Here is a 22,867-nt window from a genome sequence, read left to right as displayed (position 1 = left end):
AATTAATTTATTCTATACAGTATGTTTTTAAAACAGAAAAATCCAAGTAGCAATACTCATTTCTAAATTATTTCACTGGAGCATCTCCCATTTCCCCCCCTTCAAAATATGAAAAACTGTAGAGCCGTGCACACAAGTTCCATTAAAAATAAGATATCTTAACTGTGTGAAGACTTTAGGAGTACCTAACACTATGATGGATAGATGCTATATGTTAACTCAGAAAATTCAGAAGTGTGATTTCTGACTTATAGAATATTCTTAGAGAGCAATGAAATAATCTCTTAGTCTCTCGATATGTATATGCATACACACACACACACACACACACACACACACACACACCATTTGTAAAACCAAACATTTTAGGCTGTCTTTACATACACTAAATATACATTTTTGGAAACAGGAGTGATTCTACTAGTGTCTATGAGAGTAGAGTAATGGGAGTGTTACTTAATCATTTTAAGGGCTAGTAAAAAATGCATTTGGTACCACTTTTTCTTCTACTTCATCCTTCTTTCCTCAAGACAGATTTTATAACTTTAAAATCCCCTTATACTTTCCTCATGAAATATATGGCTTAAAAACTTGTTGGCCAACCGAGTTTTAGCAATTACTTATGAAAAAAAATTAAACATAGGCCACATTTTTTTATTTGAAGAAATTTATTTTATGTAAATGTTGAGAAAAGACCAGCTTAGATTATATCTAATAAAATAAAAAGCCATTTAGGGGCAAGAGGTGAAGTTATAATTGCTCTGAGGGCAATGATGTTGAGTTTTCTGGCTATTGCAGATTTACATTCTAAGCCATAATGCTGAGTTAACAATTTTGCTTTGAGATGAATATATAAACACCTGTAAGATGAGGATTTCAACCTTTCTGAGGATCATATTCGAAATAAATTGAGGCTTAGAGTGCAATTACAATATTAAGTCCCAAACCACTGTATAGTTAGAAATTGTTAGTAAAGATTGCCAATTTTCTTTGTGGGCACTGGGCCAATTTCTGTAGGAGACTCAGTCCATATCATCCACCCTGTTTGAAGGTAAATTTGCTGACAGGGCTATTTTGTAGAGCCAATTTGTCAACATCAGAGACACTGAATTGCTTGCATTGATTATTATGGTATGGGATGATAGTGTTTTGGTTCTATGCATCTATGAATACCCTGGGGGCACAGGAAAAAAAAGAAATATAACAATAGCTATCTTTTGTGTGTGTGGTCCTTAATACACAAATGCACACACATCTTTAATGTCAGCAGCCAAATAATTGTGCAATACCTTCCAAGGGACTCTTAGAACTCATTTGTCAAGCACTTGGGGACTTTTTCAACTGAACAGATTTCCTTGCGTTTGCAGAAAGTACTCTGACTTGAGAGTTTGCTATTAGAAACTTATTATTCCTAAAAGCTAGCTGTATTGACCTTTAGGTGTCCTTACTCGCCCTATTTCGGAATCAAATGCAACTTCATTATTTACATATTACCAAAATAAAAATTAAAAATTCAATATTCAATTATATATTCAATTATATATTCAATATATAATATTGAATATATATAATATATTATATATATATATTGAAAACACCCAAACAAGCCATGAAATTCCCAATTAAGCTCTAAATACTTGCTGAATACCTGCTACTTATCCAGCCCAACGATGTCGAATACAACAATATTCATGACTGACTTGCTGTCTTCTAGTAACTGTAAATTAAATTTGGTGAGGAAATCAGAAAAGGTAACCCTCTTAAGTTGTGTAGAATTACACAGCCTGATGGGAAGAAAGGGATTGATCCTGCAAAAAAAAAAAAACCAATTTGACTATACTTACTTCTAACAAAGTAAAATGTGTCATTCATATCATACAAATGCTGCAGGCAAGATAAGGTTCTTAAGAAAAAATCCATAATATAAACGTGGTAAAAAGGCACAGGGCTTAAAATTTTACTCGTTATTTAATTTTTCTTTGCCTTAGTTTCCACCTCTACGATATAGGTCTAATAAATGTACCCAGTTTGTGGACTGTTATTAGAATTAAATGAGATGTGTCTATACACGAAAAGATGTATAGGTAAATGAATACTGTGTAACTACTTAGAACACTTAAAAGAGTGCTTAGCACCATAAGCAGTTATGAATACATGTACATCAGTGTTTTAATAGCAAACAAATAAGTACAGAAAGAGTTTATAAGCTAGTATAAAATTGGGTTTGGTAAATGTTCGCTTGTGATCATTACAATGAGAAATCTTCGTTCCTTTAAAGCTCTGTCTATGGAATATCAATCCAAATTAATTAGAATAGCTTGCCATTAATTTTACCCATTAATGTGAATTTTCAAGATTAAGAGTTAAGTCAGAAAATTGAGAAGATTAACCATAGTGTTTTTCTCAAAATTAGATGTGGCTGGATCAGAAGAAGCAAAAGAAGCACTTAAGATAGTGTTCATTTGTCTGAGGTCTTTTCAGACATTTTGTTCTTCTAGTGTTGATCACATTAATCACTAACACATTTTGTTTTATAAAAACTTTTTACATATAAGTTTCCTTTCTGAGATGAAACTTCTACCCTTTCATTTTTAACAGCTCAATAAAATGAAAAGGACTGAAGTCCAAAGTTCTTACTGAAATTTTCTTTTGGTAGAAGTAGTTAATTACAGGGAAATGCTAGTTTGAATGTGATATGACACTATGTATCTGTATCAGGGCCTTCTCCCCTGATAGCATTACAAAACACAATAGAAACTGGTGAAGGAGGATAAAGAAACACATAAATAGGATTTATTGCCTCGTGTATTTAGAAAGCACAGTGGCTGGGATGGCTTCAGGTGGAGCTTTATTCAGGGGCTTTAGACATTGTTGCCAGGATCCAGACTCTCTCCTGGCTAAACTCTTTTCACCTCCATGTGTTTCTCTCATTCCCTTGGTCTCTCCCTTCATGGTCACAGGAAGATCACCTGCATCTCCTGGGGACATATCATGTGGGATTCAACAAGTACCACAGAAAATACACAACAAATCCAACACTTAAAAAAATTCAGATTCTTAGTCCAAGCAATCCCAGCAGAAGCTCTAATTCACAGGTCTTATTCACTAGCCCATACCTGAACCAAACACTGTGGAGAAGGAAATTTAATATGCTGGTGGTCATGGTCCTGACACAGATAATAATGCCCCACTCAAACCATGTGAATCAGTGAGGGTAGCCGTAGATCTTCAAGTGAACAGTGAGGCTATTTTAAGAAGGAATGAATCCCTAAAAGAAATTGGACCTCTTGTGTTGGAAGGCAAAGATCCATTTGTAATAGTGTACCAAATAAAGAGGACAACATAGGCACAGTCCTTTCCCTCCAGTTTGACATTACTTTGTAATTTTATTCACTTTAGTAAATAAGAATACAATGCCTACTAAGTTTGCATGTAGTTTGATGTTGATGTTTAGAAGACTATCACAGATCAAGAAAATATACTTCTTTAAAACTTTAAAACTCCAAAGATAAATATAATCCTATCCTTAATAAATTCAGAACCTAGGGAAGAATACCTATCTATCTATCCACATGCACACGTATATATACATATATATACACATACAAATACACATATATTTACATATATATATATACACACACACATACTCAAGCATAGAGTTCATGAACGGAACAGAGAGATTCTCAAACTATGTTGAAAAATTACATATTTTCCCCATTCTATTGCAGAATAATACTTTTGTAAAATGCAATAAAATTAATTAGTAGGAAGAAAATGATCATACACTTGAAGACAAAACAAGATTAAATTGCTATTAAACTTTCTAAATGCTTTGTCTTAATTCTATACTTACTCTATACTTACAAAGAGTTCATAGACTGGCCTCTGTATGCAGATAACACTGCAAAGCAAAGGTTTATACATATGTATTGAATTCATTTAATTTTTATTAACAATTCCAAGCATTATGATTAGGATGGGAATGGGGTAAAACATCATGGTGGATGCCCAAATTGATTCCTGTCTTAAAGACAGTGTTTAAGGGATCTTTTAAAAGTTTGTTTAGGAAAAGAAAACCAAATATATATAAATATATAAATATATATAATTTATATATATTTATATATTATATAAATAATATATATTAAATATTATATAAATCATACATATTATATAAATAATATATAATAAATATTATATAAATAATATATATTATATAAATAATATATATTACATATTATATAAATAATATATATTATATATTATATAACTAATATATAATATATATTCTATAAATAATGTATAATATATATTCTATAAATAATATATAATATATATTATATATAAATATATATAAATAAATATATTTATATATAAAATGTTACATATAAATATATAAATATATAAAATGTTATATATAAATATATGTATAAATATATTTATATATAATATAAAAATATATATAATATAAAAATATATATTTATATATATAAATATATATATTTTTATATATAAACATAATATATATAATATATTTATATATGAATACATATATATTTATATATAAATGCATATATATTTATATATAAATACATATATATTTATATATAAATACATATATAAATATATATATTTCATATATAAATATATATATTTATATATACATATATTTATATATGTATATATAAATACATATATAAATATATATGTATATATAAATACATATATAAATATATATGTATTGATAAATACATATATAAATATATATGTATTGATAAATACATACACATGTATATATACACATACATATATACATACACATGTATATATACACATACATATATACATACACATGTATATACACACATACATATATACATACACATGTATATACACACATACATATATACGTATACGTATACATGTATATATACATACATATATACGTATACGTATACATGTATATATACATACATATATACGTATACGTATATATAAATATGTATTTATATATAAATACATATATAAATATATATTTATATAGAAATACATATATACATATATATAGAAATACATATATAAATACATATATACATATATATTTATATAGAAATACATATATAAATATATATTTATATAGAAATACTTATATAAATACATATTTATATAGAAATACATATATAAATACATATTTATAGAAATACATATATAAATACGTATTTATATAAATACATATATAAATACGTATTTATATAAATACATATATAAATACGTATTTATATAAATACATATATAAATACGTATTTATATATTTATATATAAATACATATATAAATATATATAAATACATATATAAATACATATATTGATATATAAATATATATATTGATATATAAATACATATATAAATATATATATTGATATATAAATACATATATAAATATATATATTTATATATAAATACATAGATAAATGTACATATTTATATATAAATACATAGATAAATATACATATTTATATATAAATACATATATAAATATATATATTTGGTTTTCTTTTCCCAAAATATATATATAGTTAACTATATACATAAATTCATGAGGTGATCATCAAGAGTCAGTAACTTTTTTCCAAAAAGGGCCAGATGATAGTAAGTCTTTTAGGCTTTGCAAGCCAGATGGTCTTCATCACAACTATTCAATTTGCCATTCCCTGGTCTAGGCTCTCATAAAACCCAACATGAACTAGTCTTAAAAAAACAAGGAATTTGTTGGCACATAACTGAAAAGTGAAGCTTGACCCAAGGGCTGAAACTATGTTACTAGGATTAGTTTCCTTCTACATTCCAGTTCTGTATTCTGCTGCGTTATTTCCAATCTCAGCCATGTGTTGCAGGAAGTCAGGGATCCCGAAGGGAGGGACTGGCTGAAGCCACAGCAGAAGAACATAAATTGTGAAGATTTCATGCACATTTATTAGTTCCCCAAATTAATACTTTCATAATTTCTTAAGCCTGTCTTTACTGCAATCTCTGAACATAAATTGTGACGATTTCATGGACATTTATCACTTCCCCAATCAATATTCTTATAATTTCCTATGCCTGTTTTTAATCTCTTAATCTGTCATCTTCGTAAGTTAAGGATGTATGTCGCCTCAGGACCCTGTGATGATTGCGTTAACTGCACAAATTGTTTGTAGAATATGTGTGTTTGAACAATATGAAATCTGGGCATCCTAAAAAAGAACAGGGTAACAGTGATTTTCAGGGAACAAGGGAGATAACCATAAGGTCTGACTGCCTGTGGGGCCGGGCAGAACAGAGTCATATTTCTCTTCTTGCAGAAAATGAATAGGAGAAATATCACTCAATTCTTTTTCCAGCAAGGAATAACCCTGGGGAAGGAATGCATTCCCAGGGGAGGTCTATGGATGGCTGCTCTGGGAGTGTCTGCCTTATGTGTTTGAAGATAAGGGATGAAATACACTCTCATCTCCTGCAGTGCCCTCAGGGTTGCTAGGATTAGGAAATTCCAGGCTGGCGAATTCTAGTCAGACTGATTGTCTGCTCTCAAACCCTGTTTCCTGTTAAGATGTTTATCAATGAAAATGCGTGCCCCGTGGGACATGGAACCTCATCAGTAATTCTAATTTCGCCCTGGCCTTGTGATCTTGCTCTGACTCTCTGCCCTTGTGATCTTTTATTGCCCTTTCAAGCATGTGATCTTTGTGACTTACTCCCTGTTTGTACCCCCGTCCCCTTTTGAAATCCCTAATAAAAACTTGCTGGTTTTGCGGCTCAAGGGGCATCACGGAACCTGCCGATATGTGATGTCACCCCCGGAGGCCCAGCTGTAAAATTTCTCTCTTTGTATTCTTTCTCTTTATTTCTCAGACCGGCCGACACTTAGGGAAAATAGAAAGGACCTACGTTGAAATATTGGGGGCTGGTTCCCCCGATATCTGGTGCCCAACGAAATCAGGGTCTGATAGCCATGGGATCTAGGAGGGTTCCAAGCTCACATTACTTCTACACTCAGAGTCCCAATAGAATAGAGAGAATCCCTCTCTACAGATAAAAGTCATATTACCTTTTTTTGGCTTTAATTATGCCACATATATATCCCTGAGTAAATCATTGTACCCAGGGAAATGTATGCTCTTATTGAACTGGTCTGAGCCCTATCTTCATACCTAGACAACAAGATAAAATCGAGTGCTTCTGACACACAGATGTAAGTCAGGTAGAGGTTCATTCCTTGGAGAAAAATTATGGTATTTATGTCATAAATAGGGTGAATGGAAAGTGGAAAACCAACAGAAAGTAATGTCCATGAAAAGCAAAGATCACAAAACCAGAGACATCACAAGATTAGATGAGGTTTCCTATGAGTGGCATTGTCAGTTTGTGCTACAAGGTCTAAAGGAAATGGCCACTAGGGGCAGAAAGGCTCATTTGGCTACCTGAGGATGGTTTAACTAAAATCAAAATGAAACATAAGACTTGGGTGAGTGGTAGACATTAAGGAAAATCAACATTTCACATGCATAAAGCATGGACAGAGACACACAGTATTCCTTTGACTGTGCTTAGCCTGGTAGAGGGAGACACACATTTATTATATCTGGATTTAATTCTTGGTTCTATCAACTAAGAGTTACATAAAACTAGAAAAACTGCTTCCTTTTTTCTGAGCTTCAATTCCTTCATCTTAAAATGGAGACACTTAATTTTATAGGGTTATGTGGGGAGTAATTACAGATTAGTGCTCCAAAAATAGTGGCTGCTTTTCTTTCTTGAGACAGAGTCTCTCTCTGTTGCCCAGGTTGGAGTGCAGTGGCGCAATTACGGCTCACTGTAACCTCCGCCTCCTGGGTTCAGGCAATTCTCCTGCCTCAGCCTCTCAAGTAGCTGGGATTACAGGTGTGCACCACCATGGCCGGCTAATTTTTGTATTTTTAGTAGAGATGGAGTTTCACCATGTTGGCCAGGATAGTCTCGATCTCTTAACCTCGTGATCCACCTGACTTGGCCTCTCAAATGGCTGTTCTTTCTATGATCACGCAAATCTGGCTGAAACCTGGGTTAATTTCTCAGGGGTCAAGAAAGATGCCCTTGGGAAGAAAGTGTTTTTTGAGATAACAGTGGGTCTTAAAACAGAAAGACATTTTGACTTTATTTTATGTAGATATAGGTAACATGGAAAGATTGTTGAGCTAGAAAGTGGCATAATGGAATTGATAGCTTAGGGAAGCCTTCTGGCAAAGAGAAATCCATGAAGAATTGGACAAGAATGACCCTAGACAGAGAGAGTTTCCTTCAAGGAACTCTACAATCAATGTGTTTAAATGCCTATCATTTAAAAGGGGATTCTTTTAAAAGACTGCGCCATTTATTGTATTTGACATTTCTCACTGTTCTATGAAATATAAGGAGATGAATGCTGGAATCTTACACAGTGAAAGTAGCAGTAAAATACTTTTTCTGGCAATAAGTGAGGAATTGAATGACCTTCACCTGTTATTAGCAACAATTGGAATCTCTAAAGTGTCATGGGTGCGAAAGGAACACTGAGAATTGGAAATGACCACAAAAGGAAATGTTTATTAGGAATTTCCTGTAAATAGTATCACGTTTGCTTTTTTCAGATGTGGGAGTAATTATAAAATATCAGGTTTAATGTAAAAGTATTTTGAAATTTTAAGATCAAGCAAGCAGACATAAAATAGGAAATCACCTCCTATTATAAAAAAAGTCCCTTAATTCCAAATAGATGAGGGCCCTAATGAAAAACACATTTTAATTTTTCTAAGCTTATATATACTCAGTATTCACTGTATTTCTTGTATTTATTCACATATGCCTCAATCACCAGAGGAAGGTATTTACCAGCATGATATATTCTCATCCATTTACTTGGTCTGTTCTCAGCCTCAATTTCTTCCTCAGTTTCTCTGTCTATGGGGCGTTATTTGATATGCAACAGATCACAGGTCCATTGTTGTTGAAAACTCAGTTAAATAAACAAATATTCAACTTATTTTCATGTGGTTTTATTTTAGTCAAATCCTAAATCTTTTTTGCAAATATATATGGAGATTCTGTTCTGACCAATAAAATAGATGCATTGTCGCTTCATAACCACATGTGCTGGCAGAAATCATAAATCTTATTTTACAGATTGAGTGTCTAAGAGAGATAGAGAATGAGAGAGATTAAATGTATTGCCTAAGGTCACAAGCTAAAGCTGTCTCCTGGTAAGGTTGTTTAATTCTGCCTTTTGTTCCTGCAATCATTCAGTCCATTTTGATGCTGGAAACTGTGGAATCAGATTCTTTATCTCCTATACTACATCTTCAGGCAGTACGAGATTCTGACAGGTGACAAGACTACGTTTGAGGTGATAGCTGTCTTTCTTGGATAGTGCAAGAAAATAGGGAAAAAAGTGGAATTTTCATTTGATTACACAGGCAAATATGCAGGAAGTAGTACATAACAAAAAAAGTTTAACTTTGAAAATTAAAAAGGAAATAAAATTGTGTCCAATCAAATAATTCAAATGACTAAGCATCTTCAAACTTAGTATGCTTTATTATCAGTGGGTTATATGTAAAAGCTAACATTAAAATCTCAATACATACCTTTATATTTTGATAAAATTTTGCATGTTACACTTTGTGCCTATATTCTGTTGTGTCTTATAGGATGAATTGTAGCTGATAGATGCCTTAATATAACTTCAGAACAATCCAATCCAGGCTTTCCTATTTGAATGTACTATGCTTTCTAGCCAAAGAGCAAGTTCTCTTTAGCCAAAGAATAATAATGATGATGATTGTATCCCTACATATTTGTAACCCTTTGCATTTTACAAAGTACTTTTACATAATTTATCTTATTTGGCCACCATAGCCGCATGAGTTGCTTTTACGTTATTTCCATTCTAAAAACAGAAACTCTCAGGCACTCGGAGGTTAATTATCTTGCCCAAGACTTCCCAAGTAGTTCACTCTTCTTTACCGTGGAGAAAACAATTATTATTCAAATCTAAAAGACCATCAATATGAGAGCCACTCTTATTTTATACTTTGCTAAGAAAATAAATATTATAATTTTAAGACATTATCAATTTTACAGTATATCCCAATATCAGTGATGTTACAAATGTTTAAAAATGTATGTCTAAACCAGGTGCAATACACTGAGTTATTATGCACAACCCATATAGTATTCGTGCCGTTTACTACGAGACTTCTCTAGAAACTGATTTCAGTGGACCATTTCCCTCTCCTTGTAATTTATTCAGACTAATTCCCCAGGAATCTGGCACCTGCCATTCTCAGAACACTCTTCTCAATGGTTACCAATGTCCACAGAAATGAAGTTTTCTATATCTATAGGGTGGTAGGGAGAGACAGAAACTTGCAAAATTAAATCTCCAACTTTACCCTCATTATCTGGTTCTGTTTGCTTTATCCTGTCTCACATTTTCGACTATGTTGAATGGTCCTTTTTCATTCCAAACTCAATATTTTTAAAACTAAAGTCATCCCCTTTTTTAATAATAATATTAACAAGAACAAAAAGCAAATAAAATAACATAGCTCCTTTCTGACTTGTGTATCTTGTAAATGAGATAATATTTTCTCACTTGGTCTGTTTAGATGCCAACGGATAAATGATTTTATTAAAGACAATAAAAAGTGCTTCAAAGTGGATTTCTGAAAAGAAATTCCAATGGAGTCATTCTGGAAAACAAAACGTAGGCATTGATTTCTAAAAGGACATTTATTCTGGGTTTAGGTTTTCCCCAAAATTAGTCTTTTGGAATGTTTTATAATGTGTGAACATTATGTCTAGATGAATTAATACTGGATTTGGAGAAACATGGAAATGCCTCCCAATTGGTCTTAAGTCATAATTAAATAGGAGTAAGCAAATCTATTATAAACAAGTTTGCATTTTGTATTCCTATGTTGGTATATACTTATAGGTCACAGAAAAGTGACCTGATCTAGGTCCTCTTCCACCATGCATATTTTATATTTCACCAAACCATTTTTAATTATTTTTTGTCTTACTTATGATTTTGTGTATTTATTTTTTTCCTTTTAAAGTACCTGTTTCATAATGGCTGGTACCGTGGCTGTCTCAGTCACCTTTGTATCCCCAGAACCTAGAACAATGCCTGACATTTAAAAGGCATTCAAAACTCCATTGCATATTTCATTAAAACTCTAGTGTAAGAATAATTACTATAATGACTGAATAGAAAAAAAGAAAGAAAAAGAAACATCTTTATTACTCTCATATCTTCAATGTATTGTGAAAATGTTCATTACATTGTTGGTATTCAATACCAGTACATGGTGTATCCCTAGATGACTTGGAAATTTTGAGAGATAAATGAGATATTTTTCTTTCTGAGAACTCATCCTTGCTGATTAAAACCTGCAAAACGTGATTGGCAGTTTAACATTGGTAATATGCTTTCTTATGGTTCAGATAGCTATCACACCAGGAACTTGTTCAAAATTATCAAGTTTCTTTTACTCGAACTTTTAATATTATACGATATCTTCATTAAATTTTAAAGTTTAATATATGATACATCTGGATATTGCTGGATACACTTTTTTCTATTTATTAATTTTACTGGTAACATCAGTGTTCAGCAAATTAGGGTTTACTAAATAGAGTTACACTATATTAATAAGCCCAAATCTCTTGGTCCTGATGTTTAATTCATTGCTTTTATTAGTATGTTTCTAAGTAGAAGATTTAATTTATACATATTAGATTCTACCATAGTGTCTTGCTCGGAAAATCTTTCATTAACTCTATTCAGCAGCAATGAATTTTCACCAATTTATCACATGAAACCTCCCTGGACATTTTTACTTAGCTGATCATTTGAGAAATGTTCTCAAATATACCAAGAAAGAAAAAGACAAAACAAAACAAACAAAAAGCATTACCTTCTGTTAGAAAATTTAATTTTTCTGCTTTTAGGGAATCCAGTTAATTCACTTAAATCTTGTGTTTCCTAATACGTATTTAGAAATTTAGAGGCTTATAATTTAGCTTTTCCATTAAACATGATTATTTGCTGGAAGAACCTGTTCTGGGTGAATACAGGAACATGTGGTTTACATGGAATGGAAACTCTATGATCTCCTCTATGAAAGATCAGATTTTCACTTCTCATGAAATACTTCCATGGTGGCACATTTGCTCTCCCAGACCACCTAGTACTCTTATCACTCTAGTTTTAATATCTCCCTAGTATTGAGCTATAAAGAGGAAAAAATGACTTAAAACTTACTGCACTATTTGTTTCAAATCTTTGATGGTAACACATGTGTCACTTCTTTTAAAAGTGGGATATGAGAAGGAAGAAACAGTTTGTTACACAGAATGTACAAATTATAGAACAATTACCTGATGTATAAAACCAAAATACAGACCTTGCATACCAAGCTTAGCAAGGCCAGAGAGATTGATATTACTAATGACTACTATGACACTTCATTGATACATTGGCTATTGATTAAAACCCCACATTAGAAATATCCTTGACTCATTTTCCAAAGTTATGTTTAGCACATGCATTGGGGGTAGGGAATACTTAATGAGACCAAAGCCATGTGTGTGTGTGTGTGCACATGCACTATATATTTCTCTCATAACCCTCAAATGTACTCTTTCTGCTTTCTCTTACTGCTTTTTCCTCTCACTATTTATATGCATGCTCTATATTGAAGGTTCCTATAGGAAATCCAGGACAAAATTAGTGAAATGGTTTGGCTGTGTTCCGACCCAAATCTCATCTTGAATCGTAGTTCTCATAATCCCCACATGTCATGGGAGGGAGCCAGTGGGAGGTAACTGAATCATGGAGGTGGTTACCCCCATGCTGCTGTTCTCATGATAGTAAGTTCTCACGAGATCTGATGGTTTCATAAGGGGCTCCCCCCTTTCCTTGGCACTCATTCTCTTCCTGCCACCCTGTGAAGAGGTGCCTTCTACCATGACTGTAAGTTTCCTGAGGCCTCCCCAGCCATGTGGATCTGAGACTCAATTAAACCTTTTTTCTTTATAAATTACCCAGTCTCTGTTATGTCTTTATTAGGAGCATGAGAATGGGCTAATACAATCGGGAAGTGTCAAACACTGATCAATGTATTTTGAGCAGTTATTATACAATGATATGATGAAAATGGGACTGTATCCTCAAATGCTGTTAGCTCATAGAGGAGTTCTAATATGAATCGAATATGCGTATTAGACTCAGAATAAGTAAGTCCAATGGTGGCAGGAACTACAGTTATCTTGTTGGTGCCAACTACCCTACCTGGCTTATAGCCAATGGTAAGTATTGACAGAGAAAATGAAAGATGGCAAATATGAGATGAAAAATGGTTTGTTCCGATAGATTTGAAAGATCTTAAGTGTGATTATTATTTCAGTTCAGGAAAGCATTTATTGAACACATACTATTTGCTGCATTGAAACGTGCATTTATGAAGAAGAGTATGACGTCTTCATGAAATTTGCACTGTGTGGTGGAAGCAAATGCAAACATTTACCTTCACTTTATTTTTGTCAGAGCTATGACACAGAGATGAGATTGCCATAAATATAAGCAATACATTAAACCCAATCTAACTCATGTGGGGCATGGATAAACATGAAAATAAGGACAATGGGAGGGAGTGCTAGGAAAAAGTACCCTAGAAGAGTTTTTTTAAGTGAGATGTTAAGGAAGGGATTCCCTGACATTGAAATTTTAAACTGAAGCTGAAGGGTGAAGAAATGTCACTTACTCAAGAAAGCCTTCCCTAACATCTCCTTCATCCAAATGGGTAAACAGTCCCTATTTTTCCTAGTGCATGGTTTGTTTTCTTCCTTGGCTTTATAACAATTAATTTTTTAGACATGTCTACCTTCTTCACTAGACTGTAAGCTCCATGAAGGCATGGGCCATGTCAGTGTTATACATTATGTTATGCCCTGTACCTAGCAAAGAGTTGGTGCCCCACTAATACTATAGGCAGGTTGGAGGGATGTATAAAAGGAGGGAGGCAGGAAAGAAGAGGATAAAATTTGAGCAAAGGATCAAAAGAAATTCTTGGAGGAATTTGCCCAAGGTGGTAAGGAAACCCAAATCATGTCATAAAACCCATTGAGTCCTAAATCTAGAAACTTGGGGGAACTTCTCAAGACTATTCAAAGAAGAAAAAGGAAGCATACAAGTGTCTTGAAAAGAAGATTTGATTTGAAATTAAACTGATGAGTATAATCACATCCGTGTGGTTTGATCCATTAATTTACCATCTCTGCTTTTCCATATCTCCTTCTGGAGAATGGTGAAGCTTACACATCCTTGTCACAGTGGTGGGGACAATGACTGAGATGGCATGAAGGAAGTCCTGACACATGAAGGATTAGGCAGGAAGTGGTCTGTAAAAAGAGAATATGGGAGGATGACTACGTGGAAACCACAAGGAGAAAGATATTTGCATGTTATTAGAAAGAAACTTCTAGTAACCTGAGCTGCAATGATATACTGGGCTGCCTTAGGACACAGAGCCCTATCACTTGAAGTATTGGGGCGTTTTGGCTGGCAGACCAGTGAGGATATTTTAAAGTGGGTCATTTTAACAGTAGTAGTTGCCTAGATGATTCATAAAGTTTCTACCATCTCCTAAGACTGTATTGCTTTATCAACTTTTGATATCCATAATAACCATGGAATTACTATTCACATGAGCAATGTTCTATTTATCTAGGATGCCAACAACTGGAAAACTGAGCAGCAATTTTAGAGTAAAAATATTCAGGAACATAAGCCTAAAATTATAATTTGAAGTATCAAAGAAATGAAAGTCAATGTGGCATATTTTATATTTTATAGTATTCTAATAGTTAGAAGAATAATTTTGTTTTAATGAGAACACTCAAATGAACAGAGCAGTTCTTCCATTCCAGGTTCACAGGAATTTGGTGATTATAAACAGATTCCTAATATTTATATTTTAGAACTTAACACATTACAAGATGCGTTATGTTCCAAAGCTGATTATATGATGATAGAAATCAGACTTTAGATCATGTTTTCATAAATCTTATTTCACATGATTCAATGATGGTGGTTTATTTTTAATAACAACATCTAAACGTTTAACTTTGGCAAAAAAAATGCTTTCATTGGAGAAAACAGTTTATAAATATTCTTAAATGATTACATCACTTAAAGAATAATGAAATTTTTATTTATTTTCTTGAATGATAAAATCTTTTTTTTAGTTCTAAGTTTTAGCATCTGTGACAATAAAATTAAAAGAAAAGGGAGTGGGAGAGTCTAACCACTGAAATAAGTTACGGTAAAATAACGATCATTTTAAAATCAAGTACAACGCAAAGCTAGAATTACTAGAATTCTTTGTGTTATTACCTACTTAGGTATGCTATAGAGAATAACTATGAGTAATTGATATATATTTATGTTCCTAACAATTATGTAGACCTTTTCTAGATAGATGCCACGTCAGGTGATTTTCCTGCTTGTTAAAAATAGGTCATGACTTAATTTTCAATGACAGTTGTAAAATGACTAATTGCTGTAAAAGTAAATGATACACTAGTTTAAAGATACAATTTCAACTGTACTCTTAAACAACTTAAGAAAAATACTTTAAAATTCCGATAACTCCGTTCAAATAACATTACATTTATGAAACACAGCATTTTACTTTTATAGAATTGATAAGTAAATAAGACAAATGGAATAATATTTTGGTTTTTTATAATTAGAGTTATTAAGATGCTATATTTATCATAATTTAAAGAGTTTAACTTTTTGTCTAACTTGTGATTTTCTTTTTAAGTATTTCAACTTTTATTTCAGGTTTAGGGGTGTGTGTGCGGGTTTGTTGTATAGGTAAACTTGTGACTCAGGGTTTGGTGTACAGATTATTTCATCATCCAGGTACTGAGCATGATACCCAACAGTTTTTTAAGAAAGAATATTTTGAAGTTATGTTAAGGGGAATCAGGATTGAGGGAAAATATAGTTCTGAAAAATAATAAACTTTTAGTATTTGTTCTTTGACAAAATTAATTTTTTTTAAAGAGTAGAGATTTTTCCTACTAATTCTCATTCAGTTTTAAAGGGCAGTTATTCCCTGTTTTTCCAGAGACATAAAAAAATTAAAATAAAAGTGATTTTCTTGAACTTGTAACTGAACTTATAACTAGGGAATTTCCAATTAAAATAAGAAATAAGATTAGAATATTAAGAGTTATTACTAATCAGAGGAACATGCCAAGCATTTTTAAGGACAAATGACAGCTGATTCTACCATTGATGACATAAAATTCCAGGATAGTTTTAATTTTTCCCATGACTAATGAAAAATAACCAATCAAACAAACTACTGTGAAAAACCTAACAACATTGCAAGTTGGGACTTTTTGTTTGAATTCAAACTTTTATTTGCTTTCTCCATTCATATTTAGGAACACAAATTTAGTTTGTGTTCTTATTACTTTATAAAGGAGCCACTTCATTTTTAATGGCATGTGCCTGTGCCAAAATATAGCACAAACCATGCCACAACTCCCGGACCTACTATTAAAGTGACAAACTGCATTCTTTTGCACTCAGCTATCTCCAAGAAAAATCTTTCTTTTCCTGACAAAGACAAAAGGTTAGATTAGATATACAACATCAGTGGAGCATTATCTTGTCAACTGGCTGGAATACATTAATACAGGGAGGAACCCTTCAGTTAAAATTTTAAGGATGGTTGAAGGAAAATCTTTACACCTGCTATTTATATTACTCTTGCCACACGGAAAAAAGAAGAAGAATAAATCTTGGTGACTATTCTGAGGCATATTGGAAGAAATCCAATTTAATTAGGAAAAGACACTGCTAACTTGGGGGTTGGAAAAACAGAACTTTGAAACAAGTAATACACCATTATAAAACCCAGTTTGTGATTAATAAGCAATGAATTCTCCCCTGACAGATATGCACTGTTGGTTATTTATTGAAGTTTCTTAGTTTACACTCCACATGGCATTCTCGTCGTTTTTTAAAGTATAAAATTCTTTTCCTTGTTTATATCCATGTTCCTTCTCCTCTTAACAAGATAAATAACAGTGTACTTGAAATGTCTTCAGCTGCAAGTATTGGATAATTACCTCCATATTTGCCTTTTTCTCATTGTTTACTCTAAAAAGGAAGAACCAGAATAATTAATTCTGTCTGACCCAGAGACGTTCTTTGTAGGACATGGAAGTTCAACATGAAAAAAAAAAAATGTTGGAGACCAGGATGTATGAGTGAGTATAGCAGATCTGTATGTGGAAGACTTTCTTGAGTCTTCAGAAAGTTTGAGAACTGAGGCTCAAGCACAAAACTAAAGCATTGGTTTCTTAGCCATAAGTATTTGTTTACTTATGTATTTATCAATAATACTACTATGTGGTTCAAACTTCAAAAAGCATAAAAAGATATTCTCTGAAAAGACTTCCTTTTCTACTAGCTTTCTTCCAAGTGATATCCGTATCAATATTTTTCCGTTTTTGTCTTAAGATCTCTAGAGACTATGCATACAGCTCTAACCATAGCTATAGCACTCCATTATGATGTGGCTGCTTCGTTGATTAGTTCAGATTTTAGATGAGTGTAGTTATGTTTTAGAAGTCAAGATTTGATCTCTGATATTTTTTAAATGATTCTGTATTCTTGAAAGCATTGAACATTGGAATACAAAGAGATACAACCTTGCCCCTTGCATTTCTCAGACATTAGAGGCAAGTATTCATTTCTACATTAACTCACTTATTCATCCATTCAACAAATATTTGTTAAGCACAAGATGTGCTGGTGATTTAATGAGTAGTAATAATAAAACATAAGTGCCATTATCGAACGAATATATGAGACATTTGTGTTCTGGGTATAGAAAGTGTAGTTAGGGAAGTTCTGATGAAGGATGTGTGAATAAGCTGTGATAGGACCCAGTCAAATCCAGCATATTCTGGCAGAGAGTACAAGGTGTATAAAGGCACAGAGGCCAAAGAAAAGGCATTTTTGAAAAACTGAAATAAGTTCAATAAAGCTAAAATTTAGCTTGTGTTTTTTTTTTAATTATTTTACTTGAACATGAAGTAAATAAATGTACACTCTTCTGCCAACTGGCTAATGTAGAACCAAGCTTTTCCTTTCAGTGGGCTTATATGACAAGTGCTCTAAAGATGGCTTTCTTGTACATATCACATCCCTAAAACACTGGGTAAAATTTCAGAGTTGAGTTTTTTGAAGGTCAAGGGAGGATGATACTTGTGAAGTAATCTGAGTATAGAATTCTTCTAGATTAAAAAAAACACAAGATATTATGACAATGTTTAAATAATCTCAGAATTACAAAGTAACAAATATGTCACCTGGATTCAACAAATATCAATAATTTGGCACACCTATGACTACGGTTTGAATGTTTGAGTCTGTCTAATATTCATATGTTGAAATGTTGACCCCCATGGTCATATTACTAGGAAGTGGGGCCTTTGGAGTGTGATTAGATGATGAGGGTAGAGCCTTTATGATTGGGATTAGTGCCCCCATAAAAGACCACAGAGAGCTCCCTTGCCCCTTCCACCACATGACGATACCATGAGAAGGCGTCACTTGGGAGCCAGCAAACCGACCCTCACCAGATACCAAATCCACTGGAGCCTTGATCTTGAACTTTCTGGACTTCAGAACTGTGAGAAAAAAATTTCTGTTGTTTATAAGCTACCTAGTCTATAATAGTATCTTTATAGCAGCCCAATGGATGGAGACACTTATTTTTCTGATGTTTTTTGTTTTGTTTGTGGTTGAGTTGAAATAGTATTAATTTAAGCAAATCCTAGTCATGGAATTTTTGCCCTTTCCCCATAAAACTTTGAAAAGCTAAAAATAAATTGGTATTTAAATTTGGTATCTCCAAAAATATAAATATTTTCTTGGATATCACACTGATATTACATTAATTCCTTGATGTCAATAGTATTCAATCCATGTTCAATTGTTTGAGTGGAGAGAAAAGGTAGGTATTTCTGTTATTTAAAACAAAACAACAACCACAAAAAACAAAACCTTCTCTAGATTAATTAAACAAGATCCCCAAAGCACTGGCTTTAAGATAAAAACTCGATGTGTCTGCTTAAATAAAAACTTAAGAACGTCTCTTCAGTGAAGGAGATCACATTATTATCTAACATTTGCAACATCTGACACCACTAAGGCCTAAAACAAACAGACAAACAAATTTAAAAAAAAAAAACAGTTCTTTTCACTGGGGAACTTACACATCATCTTACTGATTTTCTATGAGGAGAAGTTTCTCATCAATGATGTAATTTCATTTGTTTCACGCAACCAACGTATGAAAGGAATAACTGAGACTTCTAGTATGGTATTAACATGGTTACTGTATATTTGATATTTTAATTGTTGATTTTGACCTTTCAGTAATGTAAAAATGGGAAGAGGCTAGAAAGAGAGCAAAGATTATATTAAAAGTGAGACATTAATAAAACAGAGAAAGACAAAATGACCTAGCAAAACATTTCCAGTGGAAATCCAGTTTGACTTGTACCTTAGCTCCTTTGCAGTACGTTTCCTATGATTAAATAATGAAATAGTGCTGACAGAAAAAATATACTGAAATCTTATTAAGCAGTTACTATGTGTCAAACACCAGTTAAGTGCATTATAAGGATTCTCCCATTTAAATTGCACACCAATTATGTGGGCGAGGTACTGCTATCCTTAACTTCTGGAAAGAAAAACCCTAGCTCATGTAGTTCATTAAAATTGACTGAGTTTTCATAACCAGCAAGAGGTAGACCAGTAAGAGAGTACAGATACCTGGTAATACTACATGCCTTTTTGTTTTTACTTTTTGTGATTATTGTTGTTTTAATAATTTATTTAATAATGTATTTATTTATCAATAATACTACGTGGTTCAAACTTCAAAAAGCATAAAAAGATATTCTCTGAAAAGACTTCTTTTTCTAATAGGTTTCTTGCAAGTTATATCTATATCAATATTTTTCCTTCTTTTCTCTTAAGATTCTCAGAGACTTGTGCACAAGCCTCTATACTATGCATGTGTGTCTGTATATTCTTTTTCCTCTTTGTTCTTATGCCAGTACTAACATATTCATCCTTTTATGCATCTTCCTAAAAATATATATCCAACATATATTTGGATGTCGGCACACTGCTTCCTAATTACTTTTTATAGCTACATAGTGTTCAATGAAATATATATTATATATATATATATAAAAACCATAATCCATTTAACCACACAGAGAGAAATTTGTTTCCAATCATTAAAAAAGCCAGTTACTTGTATTGTCTTGAATTGAGATGCATCCTTCATCAGGTATCCATGAGTGACTATGACAGCAGAGAGATAAATATCTGTAGTGTGGGTCAATTTCTCTGATATTGTTGCTAATGCTAACGTGGTTGCAATAGCATTAACTTGATTGGTATAATTTAATTGCATTGATGACTTCAATTAATGAGCTCTCCACATTGAAACTAGTTTGACCATGTAAATTGCTCCAGTCAATTGAGCCATAAAAAGAACCGATGCCAGCAGAGGTTTCACAAAGCTCTTGCATATTTATATTTCTTTGGGATACCTGCTATTGCCATAAGATCATGTCTGTGTTAGCCTACTAGAGGATGGGAAGCTGTGTGGGACGGAACAGAGTCATCCCAGCTGACATTATCCAAGACCAGTCAGCTTCTGACTGATCGACCAAGTGACCACAGATAAACGAGCAAGCCCAAGTTTCTCAGCCATGACAAGCAGATCCACAGAAGCAACCAACCGATGTATACAATTGTAAGGGGAAAAAAGGACACTAAGTTTTGGGTGACTAGCAAGAGCAAGAGCCAACTAATACAGCACATCCAGACTAGTATTTGAACTAATCCCTATTTCATTCAGGTAACCCATTCTGTCTGCTCTAACCCATATTTAATCCCTGTATAGCTTGAATTGTTCAGAAAAATGTGTAACAAATATGTATTTCTTTTGTTTAAAAAGTCATCTACCTGAAAAAGTAAATTCGTTTTAATTTGGCCTTCAGCATAACGAATCTACTTCAAGCAATTCCAGTGTTGTTAATAAAACTTCATCTTTACGCCGTCATCCCATTTTATTATGGGATAAATGAATAATCATCACAACTAAAGAAAGAGAAACTCTTTTAAGAAGTGTGTGAGAAACACTACCATGAATCATTTAGTTTTTTCATTAATAACAATGAAGAATGCATGTATGAAAAACAAGAGGAGCTATCGAGTTTTTGAACAATTGGGTCTGCTCCAGTTAGTAATGCTTAGCTCCTTGATGATGCTTGAGAGAAAACTTGAGAGATATTTGTGAATTACTTACAGTGAAATGATCCAGAAGTTTTGAATTTGAAAGGGATTATAGAAGGATATTATGGATCTGAAGAAATGAAATCACAGGAGAAAGAATTTTGGCAAACAATCTCAATTATTAGGTTGGTGCAAACGTAATTGCAGTTTTTGCCATTACTTTCAGTACTTACATTGTAGGAAGATTCTTTATAACAGTTATGCTTAAGTGCTAAAGTTATACTCTCTCAAAACATGGTAAAAGCTGAAAAGTACAAAATATACATGTATACAAATCCATCAAATATCCATACAATTTAAAACAGCATATGGATCCTTGGTCCATCCATAGACAGAACCCAGAACAATAATCTGCCCCTGATAAAGATGCCTTACTAGAGAGGAGTGTATCTAACTCCCATTCTTTTATGATTTTCAGCTTTTGAATAGCATGAAAACATGGAAACATGTACATTTTTTCTGGAGTTATAAAAATCATAGTGCATGCAAACAGACTTTAAATGGAAGGAAAATGTGCTTTTCATATCTTTTCGTTAGTTGCTTAGTGTTCTCATGGTTTTACGATCCTGATATTTGGAATAGACATGTTATATTCATGTATCCCTACTTTTTCACTCAACGCCTTAACTATCGCCAAAAGGGAACTATGGACATCATATAATTTTCCAAGAATCAGATTAAATAACATGAAAAATGCCTTCTACAATACTATTAAAGACTGAAATGTGAAAGAATTTCATATTTCATATTTTATGAAGAATAAGCTGATCTCAGTTTTCTAAGGTTTGTCAAAGATTGAGGTCTCATGAATTTGAATTCATTTAATATCTTTTAAGATTTCACATTCGAAATAAGATGAGTGTGTGTGTTTCTTATATGTTAAGGGGTCAGATAATCTTATTTCTTTGTGAATCATTGACCTAATCAATCAATCAGTCTGTTCCATTAAACACTAAAAACCAGTCACACTATTCAAAGACAGCCTAATAATAAGTTTTGTGGACATTGATATTCAAGGCACTGAGTGCTGCAAGTATTTCACGTACTCCCATTCAATTCTCACTTTAAATTATAAGGTAAGTCCAATTATTAATCCTATATTAAAAAGGAAGAAACTGAAGCCTGCCGATTGTTAAACAGTGAGTCAAACCCAGAACTCCAAGCCTATTTTCTGAAAGTTTTTTTGAGAGATTCTTGTCTTGAATAATGGCTATTAGGTCTGAAATGAATTTCTGTTGGAGAACCAGGCAAAGGTTAGAGATGAAGGGTGCTTTAGCGCTATCATCTTTCAAACTATAGCTGAGATACAACTTAAGCTCATGCATCCACCAAGACTAGGTAGGGAAGGGCCTCTGTAACATCTGGCATTTGGGCTATTTTACCACTCACCAGTG

At 32.7% G+C, this 22,867-nt stretch overlaps 1 long non-coding RNA gene across 1 annotated transcript in view, besides 1 other annotated feature; it reads right to left on the bottom strand.

Annotated features, from left to right (window-relative positions):
* Positions 1–22,867, bottom strand: part of LINC03000 (long intergenic non-protein coding RNA 3000) — a 765,030-nt gene that overhangs the window by 727,891 nt on the left and 14,272 nt on the right. The window lies entirely within an intron of this gene.
* Positions 6,395–6,595: a silencer, noted in NCBI's record as "peak5568 fragment used in MPRA reporter construct". NCBI's record gives its function as "represses an SCP1 promoter by STARR-seq MPRAs in K562 erythroleukemia cells {active_cell/tissue: K562}" and the evidence as "EXISTENCE:reporter gene assay evidence [ECO:0000049][PMID:32103011]".

Source organism: Homo sapiens, chromosome 5 (genome assembly GCF_000001405.40).
Source record: "Homo sapiens chromosome 5, GRCh38.p14 Primary Assembly".
Classification (NCBI taxonomy): domain Eukaryota; kingdom Metazoa; phylum Chordata; class Mammalia; order Primates; family Hominidae; genus Homo; species Homo sapiens.
Note: the sequence above shows the minus strand (reverse complement) of the source record. Positions and strands in the feature narration are given on the sequence as shown.